The 23,229-nt window shown below is 49.0% G+C and overlaps 1 protein-coding gene and 1 long non-coding RNA gene across 6 annotated transcripts, besides 1 other annotated feature; one reads left to right on the forward strand and one right to left on the reverse strand.

The window, feature by feature from the left end:
• Positions 1 to 1,700: 1,700 nt before the first annotated feature.
• On the reverse strand, positions 1,701 to 7,882 carry MICA-AS1 (MICA antisense RNA 1). Of its 2 annotated transcripts, none has more exons than NR_148222.1 (2): positions 7,466 to 7,882; positions 1,701 to 2,629 (listed from the first exon to the last, which is right to left on the reverse strand). It is a non-coding gene; the product is annotated as an MICA antisense RNA 1 (long non-coding RNA). The 2 variants fall into 2 exon arrangements; NR_148223.1 differs by lacking the exon at positions 7,466 to 7,882 and adding an exon at positions 5,471 to 5,920.
• Positions 7,197 to 8,063: an enhancer, noted in NCBI's record as "H3K27ac-H3K4me1 hESC enhancer chr6:31367562-31368428 (GRCh37/hg19 assembly coordinates)". NCBI's record gives its function as "activates a minimal SCP1, AML or CMV promoter by ChIP-STARR-seq in primed H9 embryonic stem cells {active_cell/tissue: H9 hESC(primed)}" and the evidence as "EXISTENCE:reporter gene assay evidence [ECO:0000049][PMID:30033119]".
• MICA (MHC class I polypeptide-related sequence A) lies at positions 8,123 to 22,727 on the forward strand. 4 transcript variants are annotated; one of them, NM_001289152.2, is made up of 6 exons: positions 8,123 to 8,195; positions 17,955 to 18,209; positions 18,484 to 18,771; positions 19,359 to 19,637; positions 19,737 to 19,872; positions 22,424 to 22,727. In NM_001289152.2, the coding sequence occupies exons 2-5, from the start codon at positions 18,176 to 18,178 to the stop codon at positions 19,841 to 19,843; spliced, it is 708 nt and encodes a 235-aa protein (NP_001276081.1). In that variant the 5' UTR covers positions 8,123 to 8,195; positions 17,955 to 18,175; the 3' UTR covers positions 19,844 to 19,872; positions 22,424 to 22,727. The 4 variants fall into 4 exon arrangements, with proteins under 4 accessions (NP_001276081.1, NP_001276082.1, NP_001276083.1 ...); NM_001289153.2 differs by having other exon boundaries at positions 8,123 to 8,175; NM_001289154.2 differs by having other exon boundaries at positions 8,123 to 8,175; positions 18,656 to 18,771.

Below are 23,229 nucleotides of genomic sequence, written 5' to 3' on the forward strand. Positions count from 1 at the left end.
ATGACTTAGTGTCGTCATGCTTATGAGTTATTTTGAATCTTGCTTTTCAAAACTTTATTATCAATACACAACTTTCTATCATATTACAAAATCTTCTTACACACAGCTTTCACCAGCTGTAGGCTGTTTCCAAACAGAGGACCTAGCCACTCTTCTTTTGCATGTTTTTTTCATTATTGTAATTAATATCCTTATACCTAAAGATCTTTCTATATATTGGATTTTGTTTTAAAATCACAGATTTCTCAATAAAAGTTACTGGGTCAAAAGGCATGAAATTTTTTTTTTTTTTTGAGACGGAATCTCGCTTTGTCACACAGGATGGAGTGCAGTGGCGAGATCTCAGCTCACTGCAACCTCCACCTCCTGGGTTCAAGAGATTCTCCTTCCTCAACCTCCTAAGTAGCTGGGATTACAGGCACACGTCACCACACCTGGCTACTTTTTGTATTTTTAGTAGAGACAGAGTTTCACCATATTGGCCATGCTGGTCTCGAACTCCTGACCTCATGATCCACCCGCCTCGGCCTCCCAAAGTGCTGGGATTACAGGCGTGAGCCATCATGCCCGGCCGCATGAATATTTTTAAGCCTTCTCATACATATTATCAAATTACTTCTCAAAAGCAGTGTACCGGCTGGGCGCAGAGGCTCACGCCTGTAATCCCAGCACTTTGGGAGGCCCAGGCGGGCAGATCACGAGGTCAGGAGATCCAGACCATTCTGGCTAACACAGTGAAACCCCATCTCTACTAAAAATACAAAAAATTAGCCAAGCGTGGTGGCGGACGCCTGTAATCCCAGCTACTCTGGAGGCTGAGGCAGGAGAATGGTGTGAACCCAGGAGGCAGAGCTTGCAGTGAGCCGAGATCATGCCACTGCACTCCAGCCTGGGTGACAGAGAGAGACTCTGTCTCAAAAAAAAAAAAAAAAAAAAAAAAAAGCAGTGTACCAATTATATTCACCCATTTACTCAACCCATATTTATTGAGCCCCTTCTCTGTCCTTGGATTTCTAGATGCTGGAAATCCAAGTGGTGACTAGACAAGGTCCCTGCCTCGAAGAACATGACAACCAATGAAACAAATGAAAACAATTCTAATACCGGTGATAATTGTTATGGAGAAAATATGCTTGAGCTAGAAGGTTGATGGTGGTGAGGATGGTAGGAGATATAGTCTGTTGATCAAGATGTTCCTGGGAATTTGAACACTGGACGTCTGAGCAGAGACCTGAATGGTGTGAGGGGCCTTTGGATCCCTTTGGATCCCTGGGGAGCAGGTGCACTTGGGGAGTTCCAGTGGGAGGTGCCTGAGACAGGATTGAGCAGTGTTAGTGGAGATGAATGAGCTGGGCCGAGAGGGGTGGGATGAGGCCAGAGTGGCCAGAAGGATCCTGTGATGAGGGATGAGGGGCTGTAAAACATAGTGAGAGACTGGGGTTTCACTGTGCTAAGAAGGGAAGAGGCTGGCATGTCTGTGGGACGCGGAGGCGAGGATGAGCTCTAATTCCCATTTGAAATGCTCACTCTGACTATTGTGTGGGTGATGGACAGCGGGTGTGAGAGTCAGCAGGCAGCCCAGCTGGAAGGCCTTCTGGTTTACTATCTTGGAGAGGATGGCCCTGGGGAGGAGGCAGTAGAGGAGTGAGAAGTGATTGGATTTGGGGTTAATACATTTTTAAGATGGTGTTAGCAATAACTCCTTGGAGAACCACACATTTATTTGCTTACTTTAATTCTACAGCAACATTCGAGGTGGCTTACTGCAACAAACCCAGTGTAATAAATACATACGAATTACTTTAAAATCAACGCTAAGGAAAATATACATTTTAAAAGATTAAGGCTGGGGTAAAGCTGGAACATTACTAGGCAGGAAGGAACATCTGAAACATTTGCTGAAATGGAGTTGACCCTTTACCTAGCCATAGATTTGTTGCCTCACGATTTCATTGCATCTGAGCACCAGGGAGGGTGGTGGCAGTTCAGGTCACCAGTCCCTTGTTTCCTGATTCAGGAACAGCGTCCTGTTCTACACTTACAGTCAAAGCAAATTACATCATTATAAGATGTTTAATGATGAAGTCAAAGTCCACAGAGTCAGCAAGCAAGTGTAAAAACCTCAGGAGTCTAAGGACAGTCTACATTTCTCCCCAGAAATGGCCTCCCTATGTACTGTTGAAGGGAGAGGGTCCTTTCAAGGGGCTCCAAGACGCAGAAGCAACTGGGCTGCAGCTCGAAATAAAGATGTCCTTTCTACCTGCAGGTTCCACGAAGCCTCACAGGCAACTTTGGTGATCTCACCTGAGCTAGGAATTCGGTTTTTTGATGTGGGTTCTCTTTGAGCCATTGTGTGAGCTTTAAAATGTGATGTGGAGATTTTGCTATACTGGTGTTTCCTTGCCGGAATTTGACATCCATGGTGGCTCTGGCTTCCCTGTCTGGTCCCAGGAGGAAATGGAGTGTCCTGCACTTTTTTTCAGCTTCGCTTTGTGTAGGAAGGATCAGGAGACCTGGAGTCAGGGCTTCCTCCAATCTCACTCTCCTCCATAAAACAGTGTCTCCTAAGCTTTCTGGGGGTGAGGGCCTTGACACCGTGCTGTTCTGATGAATATAACTGTCCCAGCTCCTGAAATAAAAGCACAGGTGCACAAAATACCGACTGTTGCAAGCAATGCCTAGGTGGGGATGTTTCCTAGGCGCCAGGTTTAGCACTTTGACTTTGTATGTACACACACAGGGGCCAGGCATTGTGGTTTATGCCTGTAATCTCAGCACTTTGGGAGGCTGAGGCATGAGAATTGTTTGAAGCCAGAAGTTCAAGACCAGCATGGGTAACAAAGCAAGACCCAGTCTCTACAAAAAAAAAAAAAAAAAAAAAGGGTATATATATACACAAACACACACACACACACACACACACACACACTGGGTGTGGTGGCTCCAGTCTGTAGTCCCAGCTACTCGAGAAGCTGAGGTGGGAGGATTGCCTGAGTCCAGGAGTTGGAGCCTGCAGTAAGCTGTGATCAGGACACTGCAGACTGTCAGAGTGAGACCCTGTCTCAAAAACAAACAAACAAAACAAAAATACATACACACACACACAGCCAGAGCCAGCGCTGAGGGAGAGGCTGGACTCAGGGGCGGGGTCACAGGCGTTTCTCAGGTCCTTCTCGTGGTCTTTGTCTCTTTTTCCTGGAGGTGGGGGACTCTGTACTTCATGAGGAGAAGTTGTCTGAAGAAGGTGGGAGATACTCAGGAGCAGGGTCCAGAGAGGGAAAAGGATGAGGAAGTGGAGACAAAGCAGAGGGGGCAGGACAAGAGGAGAGCACGCAAGGAATGGGGATGGGGAGGACCTTCCAGCTGTCAGAAAGGTCACCCGCAGAATTTGGCTCTTGGTTTTTCTGCTTTATCAGGATGGATTTGGGAAACCAGCCGGAGTGGGAGATAAGGAGTCTACTTTGCAAAGGACACATGTGAGCCTCCTCCTAGTTTGAACTCATGAGTAGCAGCTAACAGCCAGGACCCTTGTGTCGGGCACGTGAGGCCCCTTTGCAACCAGGGCGTTTTCTGCACCCCACCAGCCACCCCTCCTGGGACCACGCTGGTTCCCTCCAACCCTAACAGGGAGAGAAGGAAGGAGAGGTCTGGAGGGTTTGGGTCCTCCCTTGTGCTCCTTCTTCCTCTGCCATTTATTCCCTGAGTGTCCTCGCCTTTCCTCCGCTACCTGGACCCCACTACAGTAATGCACACTGGCCTGGACTCCCTTTGTAACCACCAAGTGGGTTCATCTTGCCGGCTACCTAGACGAAGCCGATTTATCAAGACAGGAGAATTGCAACAGAGAAAGAGTAATTCATGCAGAGCCAGCTGTGCGGGAGACCAGAGTTTTATTACTCAAATCAGTCTCCCCAAAAACTCTCATCAGTTTTTAAGGATAATTTGGTGGATAGGGGGGCCAGTGAATCGGGAGTGCTGACTGGTTGGCTCCGGTATGAAATCATAGTGAGTGGAGGCCATTCTCTTAGGCTGAGTCAGTTCCTGAACGTGGGGGCCACAGGACTGGTTGGCAGGTCCAGATGGGGCCCTCCAGCTGTTAAAAATACAAAAACCTGAAAAGACATCTCAAAAGGCCACTCTGAGGTTCACAATAGTGATGTTACCTTCAAGAGTAACTGGAGAAGTTGCAAATCTTATGACCTCTGGAATAATGGCTGGTAATATTCAGAATTCCAGCCCCTCTCATCCTAACTTAATGGCCGGTGGCCTTTCTTCGTTTTACAAGAACAGTTTCCCTTTAAACTATAAACTAAATTCCTTCCCAAGGCTAGTTCAGCCTACGCCTAGAAATGAAGAAGGGCAGTTTAGCGGTTGGAAGCAAGATGGGGTCAGTTAGGTTTGATGTCTTTCACTGTCATCATTTCCTTAGTTATAATTTTGCAAAGGCGGTTTCACCTTGGCTTCAGCCCCACCCATGCAGTAACACTGTGCCCTGTCCTTCCAATCACTGCCACTAGGTGGAAGCAGAGCGTGCATCGCCCAGATGGGCTAGATTCTCACAGGCTCACTGCTAGAACGAATATTCTTGAGACTTTAGATCTGAAAGTCAGCCTGATTTCTGAAAGCCTTGGACCGTTTCCAAAATCAAATCAATACTCCAGGAACAAGATCTGCCTCGACTTTGCCTCTACCCAAGGACGCTATGGCAACGCAGTTTTCAAACGTGCTTTGAGAATAAATGGAACAGGGTCCCCTGTGTCCCCACTCATTTGCGTTTTCCTTTTTATTACAGCCAACCGCTTTTGTAAATATTGTTACACATCTCTCTATTCCACTGAAAACATCTCTTTCAAATGCACTTTAAGAAAGATTCAATGCCATGAAAATATGAAGGATCCTCTTGAAAGAGAGTTTCTGGTGGTGGGTTTTAATGAACATTTTCTTTTTTAAAACTCTGTAACTATTTCGTTGTGGGGCTTAGCTTCATATTTTCAAACTGAAATATTCTCTTCCTTAACCTCCACATAAATCCAAGTTTATAATTTTTATTATTTTAAAATTTTATTTATTTTTCTGTTTTGGGGACAGGGTCTCCTCCTGTCACTCAGGCTGGAGTGCAATGGCACAATCATAGCTCACTGCAGCCTGGAACTCCTGGGCTTAAGCAATCTTCCTGCCTTCGATTCCCAAAGAGCTGGGATTATAGTCATGAACCACTGCAATCCACCCAAATCCAAGTTTACACTAAAAGATAAAATTCCAACATTGTAGGGGATTGGTCAGGTGGTGGGAATAATTATAAAGATAAAGTTATAGGAAATAGACACAAACCTTCTTGGAAGGTGGAAAGTTTTGCAAAAGCCTCAGGATAGGGTTATAGCTGAAAGCAGCCTAATCCCCTTACCTTGAGTTAATAGCTTCGAGTAAGTACAAAGACATGTAAGAGAGTTTATCTAAAGAGCATGTTTACCTTTGATCATTTGTAGGACTGCTCTCTCCGGGGGACTGCGACCAGATTAATTACCCACAGGTGTGTTGACTCAAAGCCTTTGTCATTAAATCTGTGCTGAATAAAGGCCCACAGGGCCAGATAGTCAGGGCACGCAGCTGCCACAACCCTTTCTGTGAGTGGCCTGGCCCTCTGGTGCACTCTTTCACTGAATATCGGTGTCTGAGTACATTATTCATCCATCGTGCAGCCTGGGTCTGCCGGTCAGACCCTGGCACAACATTTAAGAGGAAATGAAAGTCACAAAGTTATCCCAGTCTCTGGAGTCACTGTCAAAACTTTGGTGAGGAATCTTCCAGGTTTTCCCCTACTTCAAATATATATTAATATTATGTAAGTGATATTAGTGGCATTTTCGCCCAGGCTGGAATGCAGTGGCATGATCTCGGCTCACTCTAACCTCTACCTCCCAGATTCAAGCGATTCTCCTGCCTCAGCCTCCCAAACAGCTGGAACTACAGGCACCCACCACCACGCCCGGCTAATTTTTGCATTTTCAGTAGAGACAGGGTTTCACCATGTTGGCCAGGCTGATCTTGAACTTCTGACCTCAGGTTATCTGCCTGCCATAGCCTCCCAAAGTTCTGGGATTACAGGTATGAGCCACTGTGCCCAGCCTCCTTAACCTTTTAAAAAAGGTTAAAAGTATGCTGGGCACATCTTTTCATAGCAATACTTAAAATTGCTCTTACTCTTTTTAATGACAACATAGAATTTTATCGTGTAGCTGTTCTTTGGGAGACGATTAAAATCTTCTTTATCTTCACTGTGGTAGTGGAGATGTGGGTGTGTACAACAGCTAAAATTCAACAAGTTGAACATTTTAAATAGATGCAGTTTATTGCATGCAAAGTATGTCCCAATAAGATGATTTAAAAATATTATCCTCTTTGAGACTTGTACTTTGCTTATGTGAAACAAAACAAAACAAAAACCCTGTTCTTGTGCCCAGGAGACACACCCTGACACATCTGGAGGTAGAGGGTCATGCTGTCTGCAACTTACCCTCACAGGCTCTGAAATAACAATAATAGCAGCATATTTACAGATTTAGAGAGAGAGAAATTTGTGGTAAAAATGTTCATAAGTAAAACTAGATAAAGGGCAAAAATAAAAGAAATAATGAAACTACGTCTTTTAAATTTTCTCTCTCCGGCCGGGTGCGGTGGCTCACGCCTGTAATCCCAGCACTTTGAGAGGCCAAGGCAGGCAGATCACGAGGTCAGGAGATCGAGACCATCCTGGCTAACACAGTGAAACCCCGTCTCTACTAAAAATACAAAAAATTAGTCGGGCGTGGTGGCAGGAGCCTGTAGTCCCAGCTACTCCAGAGGCTGAGGCAGCAGAATGCCCTGAACCCGGGAGGCGGAGCTTGCAGTGAGCCAAGATCGCGCCACTGCACTCCAGCCTGGGCGACAGAGCAAGACTCCGTCTCAAAAAAAAAAAACAAAAAACAAAAAAACTCTCCTTTACTTTTTCTCTCCCCTTTTCTTCCTATCTCTTCCCTCATTTCTTCAACACGTCCCCCCATCCTTCCCTCTTTTCTCCATTCTCTGCATTTGATCCCCGGTATATTCCAGCCTCCAGGCCAACAAACTTCTCCGCGTCCGCCGGGAGCAGGTCAGGGAAGGGACGCGAGGCGGCGCTGTCACCGCATTCTGAGCGCCGCAGCTCCCTGGGCCCCTTGTATCATTTCAGTGAAGGTCACTCCAGTCTTTCATGGAGGCCAAACTAAGGGTGTAAATTAGGATCCTCACTGAAGTGGCGGGACCCTAAGAGGCTTTTTCCTGGCCCCTTAGTTGTGGGTTTTCCTGCGGGCGGCGCAGCCGGTTTCCATCAGAACCGCCCAGAGGCGGACGCTGCCTTCCTGGGGTGACGGAGCAGCAGGAAGCGTTTTCGGATCCTGGAATACGTGGGCGGCCCGTGGGAGGGGCTGAGGCGCAGTTTCCTACTCACCCGGATCCGAATCCTCCGCGGTGCTGTTTCAAGAGAGCCGGATTCCAGATCACGCTCCAGCCCGGACTCGGAATTCCTGCCCTGCGGGTCTGCATTTTCATAACGGGCAGGTGTGAGTGCCCTGCAGCTGGAGACCAGAAGCCTGAAGGCAGCTCGGCCCTCCCCAGCCCACAGCGCCGTTATTCCGTTTCTATATCAGTAAACACATTTCATTTTCCGTAGACCAGGGCGGGGTGACGGGTGATCCCAGTCCTCGCAGTGAATTCCGGGCAGCAAAATTCAAAACACATGCGGCCAAGGCCGGGCACGGTGGTTCACGCCTGTAATCCCAGCACTTTGGGAGGTCGAGGCGGGCGATCACCTGAGGTCGGGAGCTCGAGACCAACCTGACCAACATGGGGAAATCCCGTCTCTACTAAAAATATAAAATTAGACGGGCTTGGTGGTGAATGCCTGTAATCCCAGCTAGTCGGGAGGCTGAGGCAGGAGAATCGCTTAAACCTTGGAGGCGGAGGTTGCGGTGAGCCGAGATCGCGCCATTGCACTTCAGCCTGGGCAACAAGAGGGAAAACTCCGTCGCAAAAACTTTCGGGGGCGGAGCGGAGCCCCGCCCTGGGTTATGTAAGCGACCGCGCTGGGCCGTTTCTCTTTCTTTTCCGGACCCTGCAGTGGCGCCTAAAGTCTGAGAGAGGGAAGTCGCCTCTGTGCTCGTGAGTGCATGGGGTATAAGGCAAGTGCTGAGGGAGAAAACGTAGTTGATGGGGTAGAGCAGACGGGGTTGGAGGTGGGGTGGAGGGGGAGGGCTTTGGACAGAAGACCTGGGAGGCTTGGTGGGGGAGGGGCGCCCAGGCCTGGGCACTAAGAAACAAGTCCCCTGGAGCTCAAGACCATCTCGGCCTCCCCTAGCCCAAGAGAGGACTGGCTTCATGACTCCCTGAAACCATTTCTAAATGCCTTAGAACAAACCTTGCATATTCATTATTGTTATTGAACTATTAAAAGTCTTTTTTGGGGGCGAGCTGAATCAGATCCTTTGCTGGAGCTGGCACACGGAGGAAGTCCTGGAGGGAGGGTAGACACCGTGGAGGTAAGGGCTTGGGACCTGTGTCAGGAGAGCTAGGTCCATCTCCCTCCCAGTCTCTCACTAGGCTTATGATCTTTAGCAGTGAAAATAATCTCTCTAAGGTGGGGAAAGGACCCCGGTCCCTGCTGTGCTCAATAAATTATGAGGATCAAAATAAATTATCAGTGAATGTGAATGGGAAAACTAAGAAATTGTTAAAATTCTCGAATACATTACATTTTCATCCACAGAAAAGTGTAGGCTAGGGATCATGGGGGAATAGTTAGTAATGACAGGGATAGTTGAACTTAAAAAAAAAGTTTGTGAGGCTGACAAAGAAGAAACGGACACATTTCCTGATCTTGGAGGGTTCATAGGGTAGAAGATGGTAGATGACAGCTGGGTGTGGTGGCACTCGCCTGTAGTCCCAGCTACTCAAGAGGCTGTGGTGGGAGGATTGCTTGAGCCCAGGCATTCAAGGCTGCAGTGAGCTATAATCATGCCACTGCATTCCAACTGAGTGACACAGCAAGACTCCTCTCTTAAAAAAAAAAAAAAAATTCATGGCAGGGCACAATGAGTACTATCAGGAAGGTTCAAACCACGGGCTAAATCAGTAGTTCTAAAACTTGACTACACATCGGAATCACCTAGGGAACTTTAAAAGATACTAAGATTTAGGTCCAACCTGGGTTTACTGATTTAACAACCTAGGTTGTGGCTGTGGCCTGGGAACATGGATATTAAAAACTCTCCAGGTGGTTCTACGCAGTGGCTAGGTTTGATGACCTCTGCCTAGATGTCCCAACGACTAAGAGATGTGCGTTGGGGACAAGGCAATTCTCTTAGTAGAAAGAGGCTTTCGGGACAGCATTCTTATTATTGAGAATTGAGAATTCATATGCCACACAATTTATCCTTTTAAAGTGTGCAGCTCAGTGGCTTCTAGCGTAATCACAAGGTTGTGCCACCGTCACCACTGTCTACCCTGGAAGATTTTTTTTCCTTTTTTTCTTTTTTCTTTTCTTTTTATTTTAAAGGCTAGTCAAGTGAAACAGTGGGAGTGAAGAAGAAACAAAGACATCTATAACTGGTTGTGATCAATTAGTTGTAAACACTGCACTCAGACCAGCCTGGGAAGATTTTAAGGATATGGTGTGGTCTGATGGGTTCCAAGGCAGAGGTTACAATAGCCTGGAAGAGGGAGACTGCTTAGGCAGTGGCATCCTGGTGGGATAGGGTGAGGAGATCCCAGAGCCCACGTTTACTGCAACCCTGGGGAGATGTCACCAGAGAAATGGGGGTGGTGCCAGACAGCAGATTGTGGCAGCTGAGGTTTTCCACGGTAGAGTAGAAGCATCCATCATGTGTGACATTCAGCAGATGGGGCGCTGTGGGTGGCTTGGAGCACTCTGGTTGTAACTGAGGCAGGCACCGTGTTTAGGAAGGCTGTGCAGTAATCTAGGCTGAAGGGAGGGGAAAGCCTAGACTAAGATTGTGGCTGTGGGATTGAAATAGCGTTGAAGGAGCTGACTTTGACTCCCGGAGATGATGGGGAAAGAGGAAATCAGAAGGGACCAAGGATGGTGATGTTCTTAAGAGAAACTGAGGAGGAAGAGAGGATGATATGGTGGCAGACGTATAGAGAGTCTTTGTAGATCTCTCACATTGGAGGGGACTATGGTCGGAGGTACAGATGTCCTAAGGCAGGCTGGAAAAGGGAGTCTGGAGAGAGCTTGGTGTTGTAGTGAACCACAGGGAGCCGCCTCCTTGGCCCTGTGATCACCCAGGGACTGAATAGAGAGGCGGCCCTGGGAGACTTCAGACACTTAGAGGATATAAGGGGGTGAAAGGGGGGCCTGGCTTTGAGTCAAAGGGAGGAGAAGGAGATTATAAAGCTGAAACGTCTAAGAGAGTTTGTGGTCTGAGCGGTTCTACTGCGGCAGGTGCTTCTGAGAGGCAGAGGTGGCTGAGATCTGGAAACAGGTCTGCAAATCTGGTCACTGGTCTCATTGCCAGTAACGCTGTGCGCGGTTGAGGGAGTGTGTTGGGAGAATAGCCACGCGTTGTCTGTCCTGGAAGGAACAAGCCAGTGAGAGCCGGTTTAATGGGGCGGCCGGCGAAAGGGGCTTGGTGAGGCCCGCGCTCCTCGGGGTGGGGGCGCGGGGATGGGTGGTCGCGATGCCGGGAGGGCAGGCAGGGCCCTGGCCGTGCTTATGAAGTTGGAGCTGTACTCTCAGCTACTCGAAGCTGGTCCCTGCTTTAGGCTGCGCTCCCGCGTGCTCCCCATTTTCTGGGCCCCAGGTCCCGCCTTCTAAATCTCCCCAGGTCTCCAGCCCACTGGAATTTTCTCTTCCAAGCGTGGCCCCGCCCTCTCCGCTCGTGATTGGCCCTAAGTTCCGGGCCCCAGTTTCATTGGATGAGCGGTCGGGGGACCGGGCCAGGTGACTAAGTTTCCGCGGCGCCTTCTCCCCGGCCACTGCTTGAGCCGCTGAGAGGGTGGCGACGTCGGGGCCATGGGGCTGGGCCCGGTCTTTCTGCTTCTGGCTGGCATCTTCCCTTTTGCACCTCCGGGAGCTGCTGCTGGTGAGTGGCGTTCCTGGCGGTCCTCGGCGGAGCGGGAGCAGTGGGACGTTTCCGGGGGTCGGGTGGGTAGCGGCGAGCGCTGTGCGGTCAGGGCGGGGCTCCTGTGCCCTGTCGGTGGCGCAGGGAGCTGGACGCGGCCCGTTACCGCCACACTTCAGCCCTGCTTCCCCGTCACTTTTCAGTCCTCCTCGGGATCGCGCATCACCTGCACTTTCTGGTCTCCTCCTGCTCTTTCTCTCCTCGCGTCTCCTCCGCTTCCTCTCACTTTTCGGACAAACCAGTCCTTCTGAGGCCCATGGGTTCCCGGGCTGCCTCCGGGGCTGCTCCTGTGAATGGCATTCGAGTGCCCTTCCAGCGCGGCCACTGAAGCAGCCACAACCCCCGGTGCTCGGGGCGGCTCTCAGGTCCCTGAAGTCCTGTCCTCTCCCGGAGCCGACGTGTTCTCAGCTCCTGGGCCGCAGCTCCTGGAGTAGGGGCCCTCCTTTCTCGGGACCCGGAGCTGGTGCTTCCTGCTGCTGTGGGGACTGTGGGGGGTCCTGACTCTCAAGCTGAGGGGTTGGAGTCTGCAGGCTCCGGGCAGAGGATTCTTCCTGCGACTTCTCTCATCCCCAGCTCATTCTCCCCTCGCCTCTGGCTCCGAGGGTCCTCTCCTCTCTCTCATCCCACCCCTACTAATGACCAGTGATCTAAGGACACCAGATTCCCTCTCACCTCCTCCCTGCCCATCTCAGGGCCCGCTGAGTCCTTTTGCCCTCCCAGCTCCCTGCTACCCCTTCCTGTGTGCTGTTCTCTGATCCATTTCTAGGGTGTCCTCTGCCCTCATCCCCTGTCCCCGCCACCGAAGGTCCCTCCTGCACCCCTTATGGGCCTTTCCTACAAGCAGCCTTCACCCAGTGCTGCCCCTATGCCTCCCCGTTCCCAAATGTCCCTGACTCTAACTTTCTGGTGCTGCCTTTTATCCGGGGGGGTCTTCCCTCCATCCCACTCCCCTCCAGACCCCCAAGGGGAACCCTGATGCTAATGGCAGTTGGGCCTTAGGCAGGGCGCAGGGCAGCGCAGATGCCCCCTCCCCTCCAGTGCAGATGCCTGCTCTGGACCCTGCCTCATGGTGGCCCCTTCCCCACTCCTTCATCCTCAGCCTCACCCTCTTGAGGACCCCACCCTCCAGCCCACAGGTGCTGGACCATCCCTCCCTGGTCCCTCCGCCCCTCTCCACCTTGGGACCTTGTGCTGCTCCTGTCTCTTGCCCAGCTGCCTTGGGCCCTCAGCACGTTCTCATCTTTCAGTGGGAAAGTGGGAGTGCTGGAGCATATGACAGTGCTGAGCATCTTTCCCAAGCCCCACCCTCCCCCAGAGCACCCTCCCCTCCTGTCCTCACCCTACCCCAAGTTCTCCCACAGTCACTCCTGCCCCATGCTCATGCCGCCCTCCAGTTCTTGCTCTGCCCATCTCCCCTCCCCAACCCAGACCTAAAACAGGCTGTTGGGCCAACTGTTCCTTGACCTTCCTTCTTTTCTTTTGGTTCCTTGACCCCAGTGGGCTCTCACTCCCCACACCGCATATCTAAAATCTGTTTTGCCTGCTCTTGGGGTGCCACTGCTCCCCCTCCAGCATTACTCCTTTTGGCAGGTCCTTCCTCAGGCTGAGAATCTCCCCCTCTACCTTGGTTTTCTCTCTCTGGCCAGCACCCCCACCCCTTGCTTTGTTTTTAATTTTTAACTTTTGTTTGGGTACGTAGTAGATATATATGTATATATTTATGGGGTACATGGGATATTTTGACACAGGCCTACAATATGTAATAATCACATCAGGGTAAATGGGTTATATCACAACAAGCATTTATCCTTTCTTTGTGCTACAAACAATCCCATTATGCTCTTTCAGTTATTTTTAAATGTACAATAAATTATTGTTGACTGTACTCACCCTGCTGTGCTATCTACTAGATCTTATTCATTCTAATTATATTTTTGTACCCATTATTAACCATCCCTGCTCCCCCACTCCCCACTACCCTTCTCAGCCTCTGGTAATCATCATTCTATTGTCTCTCCCCATGAGGTCCATTGTTTTAAATTTTGGCTGCCACAAATAAGTGAGAACATGCAAAGTTTGTCTGTCTGGGCCTGGGGCTTATTTCACTTCACAGGATGACCTCCAGTTCTTTGCAAATGACACGATGGCTGAATAGTTCTCCACATACACATGTACACCACATTTTCTTTATCCATGCGTCTGTTGATGGACACTTAGATTGCTTGCAGATCTTGGCTACTTTGAATAGTGCTGCAATAAACATGGAAAAGTAGATAGCTCTTTAATATACCGATTTCCTTTCTTTGGAGTATATGCCTAACAGTGGGAGTGCTGGAGCATATGACAGCTCTATTGTATTTTTAGTTTTTGGAAGAACCTCCACATTGTTTCCCATAGTGGTTGTACTAGTTTACGTTCCCACCAACAGTGTACATCCTCACCAGCATTCCTTATTTCTACATCCTCGCCAGCATTCCTTATTGCCTGTCTTCTGGATAAAAGCCAGTTTATCTGGGGTGGGATGTTATCTCGTAGGAGTTTTGATTTGCCTTCATCTGTTGACGAATGATGTTGAGCACCTTTTCATATACCTGTTTGCCATTTATATGTCTTCTTTTGAGAAATGACTATTCAGATCTTTTCTCATTTTTAAATTGGATTATTATATTTTTTTTCCTATAGTTGTTCGAGCTCCTTATATGTTTCAGTTACTGATCCTTTGTCAGATGAATAGTTTGAAAATATTTTCTCCCATTCTTGGATGGTCTCTTCATTTTGTTTATTGTTTCCTTTGCTGTGCAGAAGCCTTTTTACTTGATATGATCCCATTTATGCAATTTTACTTTGGTTACCTGTGCTTGTGGGGTATTACTTTAAAAATCTTTGCCCAGTCCAATATCCTAGAGAGTTTCCCCAATGTTTTCTTGTATAGTTTCATAGTTTGAGGTCATAGATTTACATCTTTAATCCACTTTGATTTGATTTTTGTATATGGTGAAAGACAGGGTCTAGTTTCATTCTTCTGCATAAGGATATCTAGTTTCCCCAGCACCATTTTTGAAGAGACTCTCCTTTGCCAATGTGTGTTCTTGGTACCTTTGTTGGAAATGAGTTTACTGTAGATGTATGGAATTGTTTCTGGGTTCTCTATTCTGTTTCATTGGTCTGTGTGTCTGTTTTTATGCCAGTATCATGCTGTTTTGGTTACTGTAGCTCTGTAGTATAATTTGAAGTCAGATAATGTGATTCCTCTAGTTTTGTTCATTTTGCTCAGGATAGCTTTATCTATTCTGGTTTTTTTGTGGTTCCATATGCATTTTAGGATTATTTTTATTATTTCTGTGAAGAATGTCATTAGTGTTTTGATAGGGATTGCATTGAATCTGTAGATTACTTTGGGTAGTATGGATATTTCAACAAAACTGATTCTTCCAATCCATGAACGTGGACTATCTTTTCCATTTTTTGTGTCCTTCAATTTTTTGCATCAGTGTTTTTTGTTTTTGGTTTTTGAGATGGAGTTTCACTCTTGTTGCCCAGGCTAGAATGCAAGGGTGTGATCTTGGCTCACCGCAACCTCCGCCTCCCAGGTTCAAGCTATTCTTCTGCCTCAGCCTCCCAAGTAGCTGGGATTACAGGCATGTGCCACTGTGCCTGGCTAATTTTCTATTTTTATTAGAGATGGGGTTTCTCTATGTTGGCCAGGCTAGTCTTGAACTCCTGACCTCAGGTGATCCACCTGCCTCGGCCTCCCAAAGTGCTGGGATTACAGGCATGAGCCACCACGCCCAGCCACATCACTGTTTTATAGTTTTTATTGGAGAGGTCTTTCACTTCTTCAGTTAGGTTTATTCCTCAGTATTTTATTTTATTTGTAGCTATTGTAAATGGGATTCGTTTCTTGATTTCTTTTTCAGATTATTTGCTGTTAGCACTGATTTTTGCATGTTGATTTTGTATCCTGCAACTTTACTGAATTTGTTCTTCAGTTCTAATGGTTTTTTGGTGGAGTCTTTAGGTTTTTCCAAATATCAGACCACATGATCTGCAAACAAGGATAATTTGACTTCTTCTTTTCCAGTTTTAATGCCCTTTCTTTCTTTCTCCTGTCTGATTGCTCTAGTTAGGATCTGCAGTACTGTGTTGCATAACTGTGGTAAAATTAGTCATCCTTGTCTTATTCCAGATCTTAGAGAAAAGGCTTTCAGTTTTCCCCCATTCAGTATGTTACTAGCTGTGAGTTTGTCATATATGGCTTTTATTATATTGAGGTCTGTTCCTTGTATACTTAGTTTTTTGAGAGTTTTTATCATGAAGGGATGTTGAATTTATCAAATGCTTTTTCAGTATCAATTGAATGATACTGGCTTTTGTCCTTTATTCTGTTGATATGACGTATTACATTGATTGATTTGTGTATGTTAAATCATCCTTGCATACCTGGAATACATTCCACTTGCTCATAAAGAATGATCTTTTTTAATGTATTGTTGAATGTGGTTTGCTAGTATTTCCTTGACGATTTTTGCATCGGTGTTCATCAGGGATATAGGCCTGTAGTTTTCTTTTTTATGATGTGTCTTTGCCTGGTTTTTGTATCAGGATATTCCTGGCTTTGTAAAATGAGTTTGGAAGTATTCCCTCCTCCTCTATTTTTCAGAACAGTTTGAATAGGACTGACATATGTTGTTCTTTAAAAGTTTAATTGTGGTAAATTATACATTACATAAATTTTACTGTTTTAACCACTTTTAAGTGTATACTCGGTGGCATTAGATACATTCACATTTTTGTGCAACCCAAAACTCTGTGCCCATTAATCGGTAACTCCCCATTCCTCCCTACCTCTGGCCCCTGGTAACCACCATTCTACTTTTTGTTTCTATGAATTTGACCACTCTAGGTACCTCATTTAAGCAGAATCATGTAATGTTTGTCTTTTTGTTTCTGGCTTATTTCACTTATAATATTTTTGAGGTTCGGTGGGCACAGTGGCTCACGCCTGGATTTCCAGCACTTTGGGAGGCTGAAGCAGGTGGATCACCTGAGTTTCGGAGTTCGAAACCAGCCTGGCCAACATGGTGAAACCCCATCTCTACTAAAAATAATAAAAGTTAGCCGGGCGTGATGGCGGGTGCCTGTAATCCCAACTACTTGGGAGGCTGAGGCAGGAGAATCGCTTGAATCCGGGAAGTGGAGGTTGCAGTGAGCTGAGATCAGGCCACTGCACTCCAGCCTGGGCAACAAGAGTGAAATTCCATCTCCAAAAAAAAAAATAAAACAATAATAATAATAATATTTTTGAGGTTCATCCAAGTTGTAGTATGGGTCAGAATTTCATTCCTTTTAAGGATGGATAATACTCATTATATGTATGTACCACATCTTGGTTATCCATCCCTCAGACAATGGACACTTGGGTTACTTCTACCTTTTGGATATTGGCAAATATTTCATTTCCTTTGGGTATATATTTATTTCCTTTGGGTATTTCTTTTGGGTATATATCCAGAAATAGAAGCAGTACACAGGGGCTTCATTTTCTCTGTCTCTTTGCCAACCTTGCTCTGTGTGTGTGTGTATGTGTGTGTGTAGGTGTGTGATAACAGCCATCCTGATTGGTTTCAGGTGGCATCTCATTGTGGTTTGGATTTGCATTTTCCTAATGAGTGCTGATATTGAGCATCTTTTCATGTGTTTGTTGATCATTTGTAATTTTCTTTGAAGAATTGGCCATTTAAGTCTTTTGCCCATTTTTTCCCCCACATAGCTTCTCTTATCAGATATATGACTTGCAATATTTATTTCATTTCGGGGTTGATTGCTTTTTCACTCTGATTGTGCCCTTTGATGCATAGATGTTTTGAATTTTCATCAGTCTACTTTGTCAGTTCTTTCTATTCTATCTGTGCTTTGGTGTCATATCCATGAAAGCACTGTCAAATCCTATGTCATGAACATTATCCCCAATGTTTGCTTCTAAGAAATTTTTAGGTTTTAGTTCTTGAGTGTAGAGTTTAGGTCTTTGATTCATTTTGAGTTAATTTTTGTATATAGTGCAAATTAAGGGTCCAATTTTATTTTAACACCCCCTGCCCCCAGAACTATTTGCTGAAAAGATCAACTGACTCTTTGTCACCTGCTCACCCCAGTGGACACTAGCTGTTCCATCCAATTGCTGTCCTGGGGCCTTGTCATGCTACTCTTCCACTTTGAACCCAAGCCCACACCGTTCGTTGCTCCCCTCTGGGATACTGACCCCACTATAAACTTCTCTGGGGCTACAACCTTCCTACCCTTTGTGCCTCATGACCACCCCCTCCCTTGTCCCCGCCATGCCCATGATGAGTCTCTTCTCGAGGCAGCTCCCCTTGCCTCCATCTCACCCTCAGCCTATGCACCACAGCCACACTGGACATGGGTCCCTCTGAGCCTGAGTCCCTTCCCATTCCCACCATCCCCTCTGGCAAGACCTTCCTTCCACCACCTTCATGCTCCTCCCTTGCCCCTGCAGGGCAGCCTCTCCCCTTGGCCCCTATTCCCTTAGGGGGCTTGTGGCCACCCAGTCCTTGCACCTGGCCTACAAGTTTGCCATCTTCATTCCCCCTTCTTCTGTTCATCAGCCCCCTCCTCTATCCTCCCACCCTCACAGTTTTCTTTGTATATGAAATCCTCGTTCTTGTCCCTTTGCCCGTGTGCATTTCCTGCCCCAGGAAGGTTGGGACAGCAGACCTGTGTGTTAAACATCAATGTGAAGTTACTTCCAGGAAGAAGTTTCACCTGTGATTTCCTCTTCCCCAGAGCCCCACAGTCTTCGTTATAACCTCACGGTGCTGTCCTGGGATGGATCTGTGCAGTCAGGGTTTCTTGCTGAGGTACATCTGGATGGTCAGCCCTTCCTGCGCTATGACAGGCAGAAATGCAGGGCAAAGCCCCAGGGACAGTGGGCAGAAGATGTCCTGGGAAATAAGACATGGGACAGAGAGACCAGGGACTTGACAGGGAACGGAAAGGACCTCAGGATGACCCTGGCTCATATCAAGGACCAGAAAGAAGGTGAGAGTCGGCAGGGGCAAGAGTGACTGGAGAGGCCTTTTCCAGAAAAGTTAGGGGCAGAGAGCAGGGACCTGTCTCTTCCCACTGGATCTGGCTCAGGCTGGGGGTGAGGAATGGGGGTCAGTGGAACTCAGCAGGGAGGTGAGCCGGCACTCAGCCCACACAGGGAGGCATGGAGGAGGGCCAGGGAGGCATACCCCCTGGGCTGAGTTCCTCACTTGGGTGGAAAGGTGATGGGTTCGGGAATGGAGAAGTCACTGCTGGGTGGGGGCAGGCTTGCATTCCCTCCAGGAGATTAGGGTCTGTGAGATCCATGAAGACAACAGCACCAGGAGCTCCCAGCATTTCTACTACGATGGGGAGCTCTTCCTCTCCCAAAACCTGGAGACTGAGGAATGGACAGTGCCCCAGTCCTCCAGAGCTCAGACCTTGGCCATGAACGTCAGGAATTTCTTGAAGGAAGATGCCATGAAGACCAAGACACACTATCACGCTATGCATGCAGACTGCCTGCAGGAACTACGGCGATATCTAGAATCCGGCGTAGTCCTGAGGAGAACAGGTACCGACGCTGGCCAGGGGCTCTCCTCTCCCTCCAATTCTGCTAGAGTTGCCTCACCTCCCAGATGTGTCCAGGGAAACCCTCCCTGTGCTATGGATGAAGGCATTTCCTGTTGGCACATCGTGTCCTGATTTTCCTCTATTGTTAGAGCCACTGGATAAAGACAGAGGGTCAGGGACTGGACCATCCAGTGTTGTAATCAGGGCAAGTAGAGGACCCTCCGACAGAATCCTGAGCCTGTGGTGGGTGTCAGGCAGGAGAGGAAGCCTTCAGGGCCAGGGCTGCCCCCTCTGCCTCCCAGCCTGCCCATCCTGGAGAGTTCCCTCCTGGCCCCACAACCCAGGAGTCCACCCCTGACATCCCCCTCCTCAGCATCAATGTGGGGATCCCAGAGCCTGAGGCCACAGTCCCAAGGCCCATCCTCCTGCCAGCCTGGAAGAACTGGGCCCCAGAGTGAGGACAGACTTGCAGGTCAGGGGTCCCGGAGGGCTTCAGCCAGAGTGAGAACAGTGAAGAGAAACAGCCCTGTTCCTCTCCCCTCCTTAGAGGGGAGCAGGGCTTCACTGGCTCTGCCCTTTCTTCTCCAGTGCCCCCCATGGTGAATGTCACCCGCAGCGAGGCCTCAGAGGGCAACATCACCGTGACATGCAGGGCTTCCAGCTTCTATCCCCGGAATATCATACTGACCTGGCGTCAGGATGGGGTATCTTTGAGCCACGACACCCAGCAGTGGGGGGATGTCCTGCCTGATGGGAATGGAACCTACCAGACCTGGGTGGCCACCAGGATTTGCCGAGGAGAGGAGCAGAGGTTCACCTGCTACATGGAACACAGCGGGAATCACAGCACTCACCCTGTGCCCTCTGGTGAGCCTAGGGTGACCCTGGAGAGGGTCAGGCCAGGGTAGGGACAGCAGGGATGGCTGTGGCTCTCTGCCCAGTGTATAACAAGTCCCTTTTTTTCAGGGAAAGTGCTGGTGCTTCAGAGTCATTGGCAGACATTCCATGTTTCTGCTGTTGCTGCTGGCTGCTGCTATTTTTGTTATTATTATTTTCTATGTCCGTTGTTGTAAGAAGAAAACATCAGCTGCAGAGGGTCCAGGTGAGAAAAGCGGGCAGTTTCTGGAGATGGTAAGGCCCCTGTCTGGGCAGTAGGGTCCCCTCATTGCTCCTGCAAAGATAGGCATGTTGGTGACAAGGCTTCCATAACAGGGGATGAAAGTTGGGGAATTTGGGAAGGGAATGGGGGCAGCATCTCCATCTACACCCATAAGTGCTGCCCAAGCAAGGGTCAAACGCCCAGCTGTGGCATCCTCCTGCTGCAGGTGAGGAGTGGGCAGCAGGGAGGGCTGCGGCGCCTGCTCTGTCCCCATCCCGGTCTCTGTGTCTCTTGAACTCACTAGGGCGCATCCAGGTGGGGTGAGCTGGGAATCACGTGCTGAATGCTAAGGGCCTGGATGATCACGGCCTCAGAGGGAGCAAATAGTAAAGGCAGCTGTGATCTGGGGAGGGCCAGAAACTGGAGAGGAATCTGAGGAGAGGCGGTGCCCCTATTCCCTTCCTCTCTGCATCCCCCTCCCCTGTTTCTCCAGCCATCGGGGCGGACACCGAGAAAAAGACCTATGAGGCCCAGCCTGGGGGCCCTGCCTGTGTAGCCCTTTGGAGACCCCTTGTAACAGGGAGGGTCCTGAGCACACATGGCCATCTCTGTCCACTTTGCAGCTCCCCATGCACCTCCTCCAGGAGCTTTCTTGGGGTTGTCGTGTCCTCTGCACCATTCGAGGCCCTACTCTTTCCAGGTTCCCACGGCCTGGCCTCCCTGAGTTTCTTGCAGATGACATGGATGAGTAGATAAGCAGATGTCCCTGGGCCATTTGAGGAGTGGGGCCCAGCCCCTCATCAGGGCAGCTGTGGTCCCTGTTTTCATCCTACCTCCGAGTGTTTTCTTCTCCAGTCCCTGAGGGACACAGTCCTCAGGGCCCATGTTTTTGGGGATTTAATCTGTGCTCTGTGGCCTCACCTTGCCCTCCCTGAGCCAATTTCCCTTTCTAAAGGTGGTCACTGCCTGGTAAGTTTGGAGTAAGGGACGGTCAGAATCATTTCCCCTACAGTCAGGTTGTTTGATGGGGGATGAAAAGAGACAGCAGGAAGTTTTGTGTTTCTGCAAAGACAGAAGCAGTTCAGGCGACAGTAAGAGGCTGGGGTGTCCAGGAGGATGTGTCTGGCAGTAGGGTCGCTGGTTTCTCATCCTTGAACCTAATTGCACTGTCAATCGGCCCCTCAGGCCTGAGCAGATGGGAAGGTTTGTCCCCTGCCCTGCAGCAAGAGGGCCCTGTCCAGGAGGCACCCACAACAGGGGCAGTGCAGGTCTGTGGTCACTCCTGCTCTCACCTGTGGCGTCTCCCGTAGAGGGATTGTCAGTTCTGGTTCCCTGTGGGCAGGAATGGTTTCCTCATAGGTCACTGGAGTTTTGGCCAGGAAAAGAGTATGAAGTTCATGTGCCAGTTTCTCAAAATTCCTGCTTTCAATGTTGATGTCCAGTAAAGATATTCGTAATTTCAGCTCTATAATCTTAATAGGATTTCCTCTAATATTGTGAAGCATATTATATGAAACAGGAACACAAATTTCTCAAAATTCCTGCGATGTCCAATAAAGATTTTCATAATTTCAGCTCTGCAATCTTAATAGGATTTCCTAATACTGTAAAGCATATTAAATGAAACAGGAACTCAAATTTGGAGCCCCCTCTCCAGGAGGTTCTGTGTGGAGATGGTGGCTGTGGCAGTGGCAGTTCCCAGGTGCAGAGGGTGGGCAGAGGCAGCCTCAGGCTAAGGGGTCTCCCCTACTCCACATGGAGAAAATCCCTTGTAGGTTGCAAGGGCAGTGGCCGGGTGGAATCCCTGCTAGGGACAGAGCAGGAAGGCCTCGCAGCCTCACCAAGCAGCAGCCCTGGGGTGGAGCTGCGTTTCCAGGGTTAAGCGGACCAGGCAGGAGTAGCGGTTACTCAAGAGCAGGTCACAGGCTTGGGTTGTGAGGGTCAGGAGAGGCCAGGCCTCCTCGAGCAAGGTGGGGGTCCCAGGGTCAGGTCAGGTGCAGATCCTGTGGCAGCCACGTCTTTCCATGCTGGGCCTGCTGGGCCCCCCAGGCTTCCTGATGGGGTCCCCAGTTAGGAGCTGCCTGCTCAGGGCTGGGAGGGGAGGAGCACTGAGCTGCAGATAGAGGGCAGAGCCCACAGTGGGCAGGGCCTGCCCTGGTGTGTAGGTGCCTCTGAAGGAGAGGAGGGCCTGGGGACTGAGAGCAAGGGTCAGGGCCTCTCTTTGGGGAGGCCTCTCACTGTAACAGGACTGGTCAGGCCTGAGAGGAGGGCACTGGGTTCCCTCTTGGGTCTTGTCCTTTAGTCTTGGGGCCCTTTCCCTCCCTGCACGATGAGTGGTGGGCACAGGGCACGGGCTGATGTTGATGGAGTGATGGGAGGGAACTGGCAGGGGCTGGGAAAAGCAAGGAGGGAGGAAGAAAAAAGTGGGGGCCTCATCTTCCCTCAGAGAAAGGGCAAATCTGGTTTTGGAGCAACTGAAGAGAGAAAAGTCCCCAGGGAATAAACACAACACTGCACCCAGTGGAGCATTTACCCATTTCCCTCTTTTCTCCAGAGCTCGTGAGCCTGCAGGTCCTGGATCAACACCCAGTTGGGACGAGTGACCACAGGGATGCCACACAGCTCGGATTTCAGCCTCTGATGTCAGCTCTTGGGTCCACTGGCTCCACTGAGGGCACCTAGACTCTACAGCCAGGCGGCTGGAATTGAATTCCCTGCCTGGATCTCACAAGCACTTTCCCTCTTGGTGCCTCAGTTTCCTGACCTATGAAACAGAGAAAATAAAAGCACTTATTTATTGTTGTTGGAGGCTGCAAAATGTTAGTAGATATGAGGCATTTGCAGCTGTGCCATATTAATTGGTGTCATTGTTTTTGTTGTTTTCGTATTATTATTTTTTTTTTTTAAGACAGAGTCTCAGGCCAGGCACGGTGGCTCACGCCTGTAATCCCAACACTTTGGGAGGCCGAGGCGGGCGGATCACAAGGTCAAGAGATCGAGACCATCCTGATCAACATGGTGAAACCCTGTCTCTACTAAAAATACAAAAAATTAGCTGGGCCTGGTGGCGTGTGCCTGTAGTCCCAGCTACTCAGGAGCTGAGGCAGGAAAATCACTTGAACCTGGGAGGTGGAGGTTGCAGTGAGCTGAGATCACACCACTGCACTCCAGCCTGGCGACAGAGCGAGACTCTGTCTCAAAAAAAAAAAAAAAAAAAGACAGAGTCTCACTCTGTCACCCAGGCTGCAGTTCAGTGACATGATCTCAGCTCGTTGCAGCCTCCGCCTCCCGGGTTCAAGCACTTCTCTTGCCTCAGCCTCCCGAGTAGCTGGGGTTACAGACATGCACCACCATACCCGG

Source organism: Homo sapiens, chromosome 6 (assembly GCF_000001405.40).
Source record: "Homo sapiens chromosome 6, GRCh38.p14 Primary Assembly".
NCBI lineage: Eukaryota > Metazoa > Chordata > Mammalia > Primates > Hominidae > Homo > Homo sapiens.

What these genes read in the sequence shown, in the direction of transcription:
- MICA (NM_001177519.3), top strand. Translation starts at nt 11,045, where the DNA reads ATGGGGCTGGGCCCGGTCTTTCTGCTTCTGGCTGGCATCTTCCCTTTT. An exon ending in TATCAAGGACCAGAAAGAAG is followed by an intron (nt 18,210 to 18,483) that starts GTGAGAGTCGGC and finishes GGGTGGGGGCAG; the next exon opens with GCTTGCATTCCCTCCAGGAG. An exon ending in CACTCACCCTGTGCCCTCTG is followed by an intron (nt 19,638 to 19,736) that starts GTGAGCCTAGGG and finishes CCTTTTTTTCAG; the next exon opens with GGAAAGTGCTGGTGCTTCAG.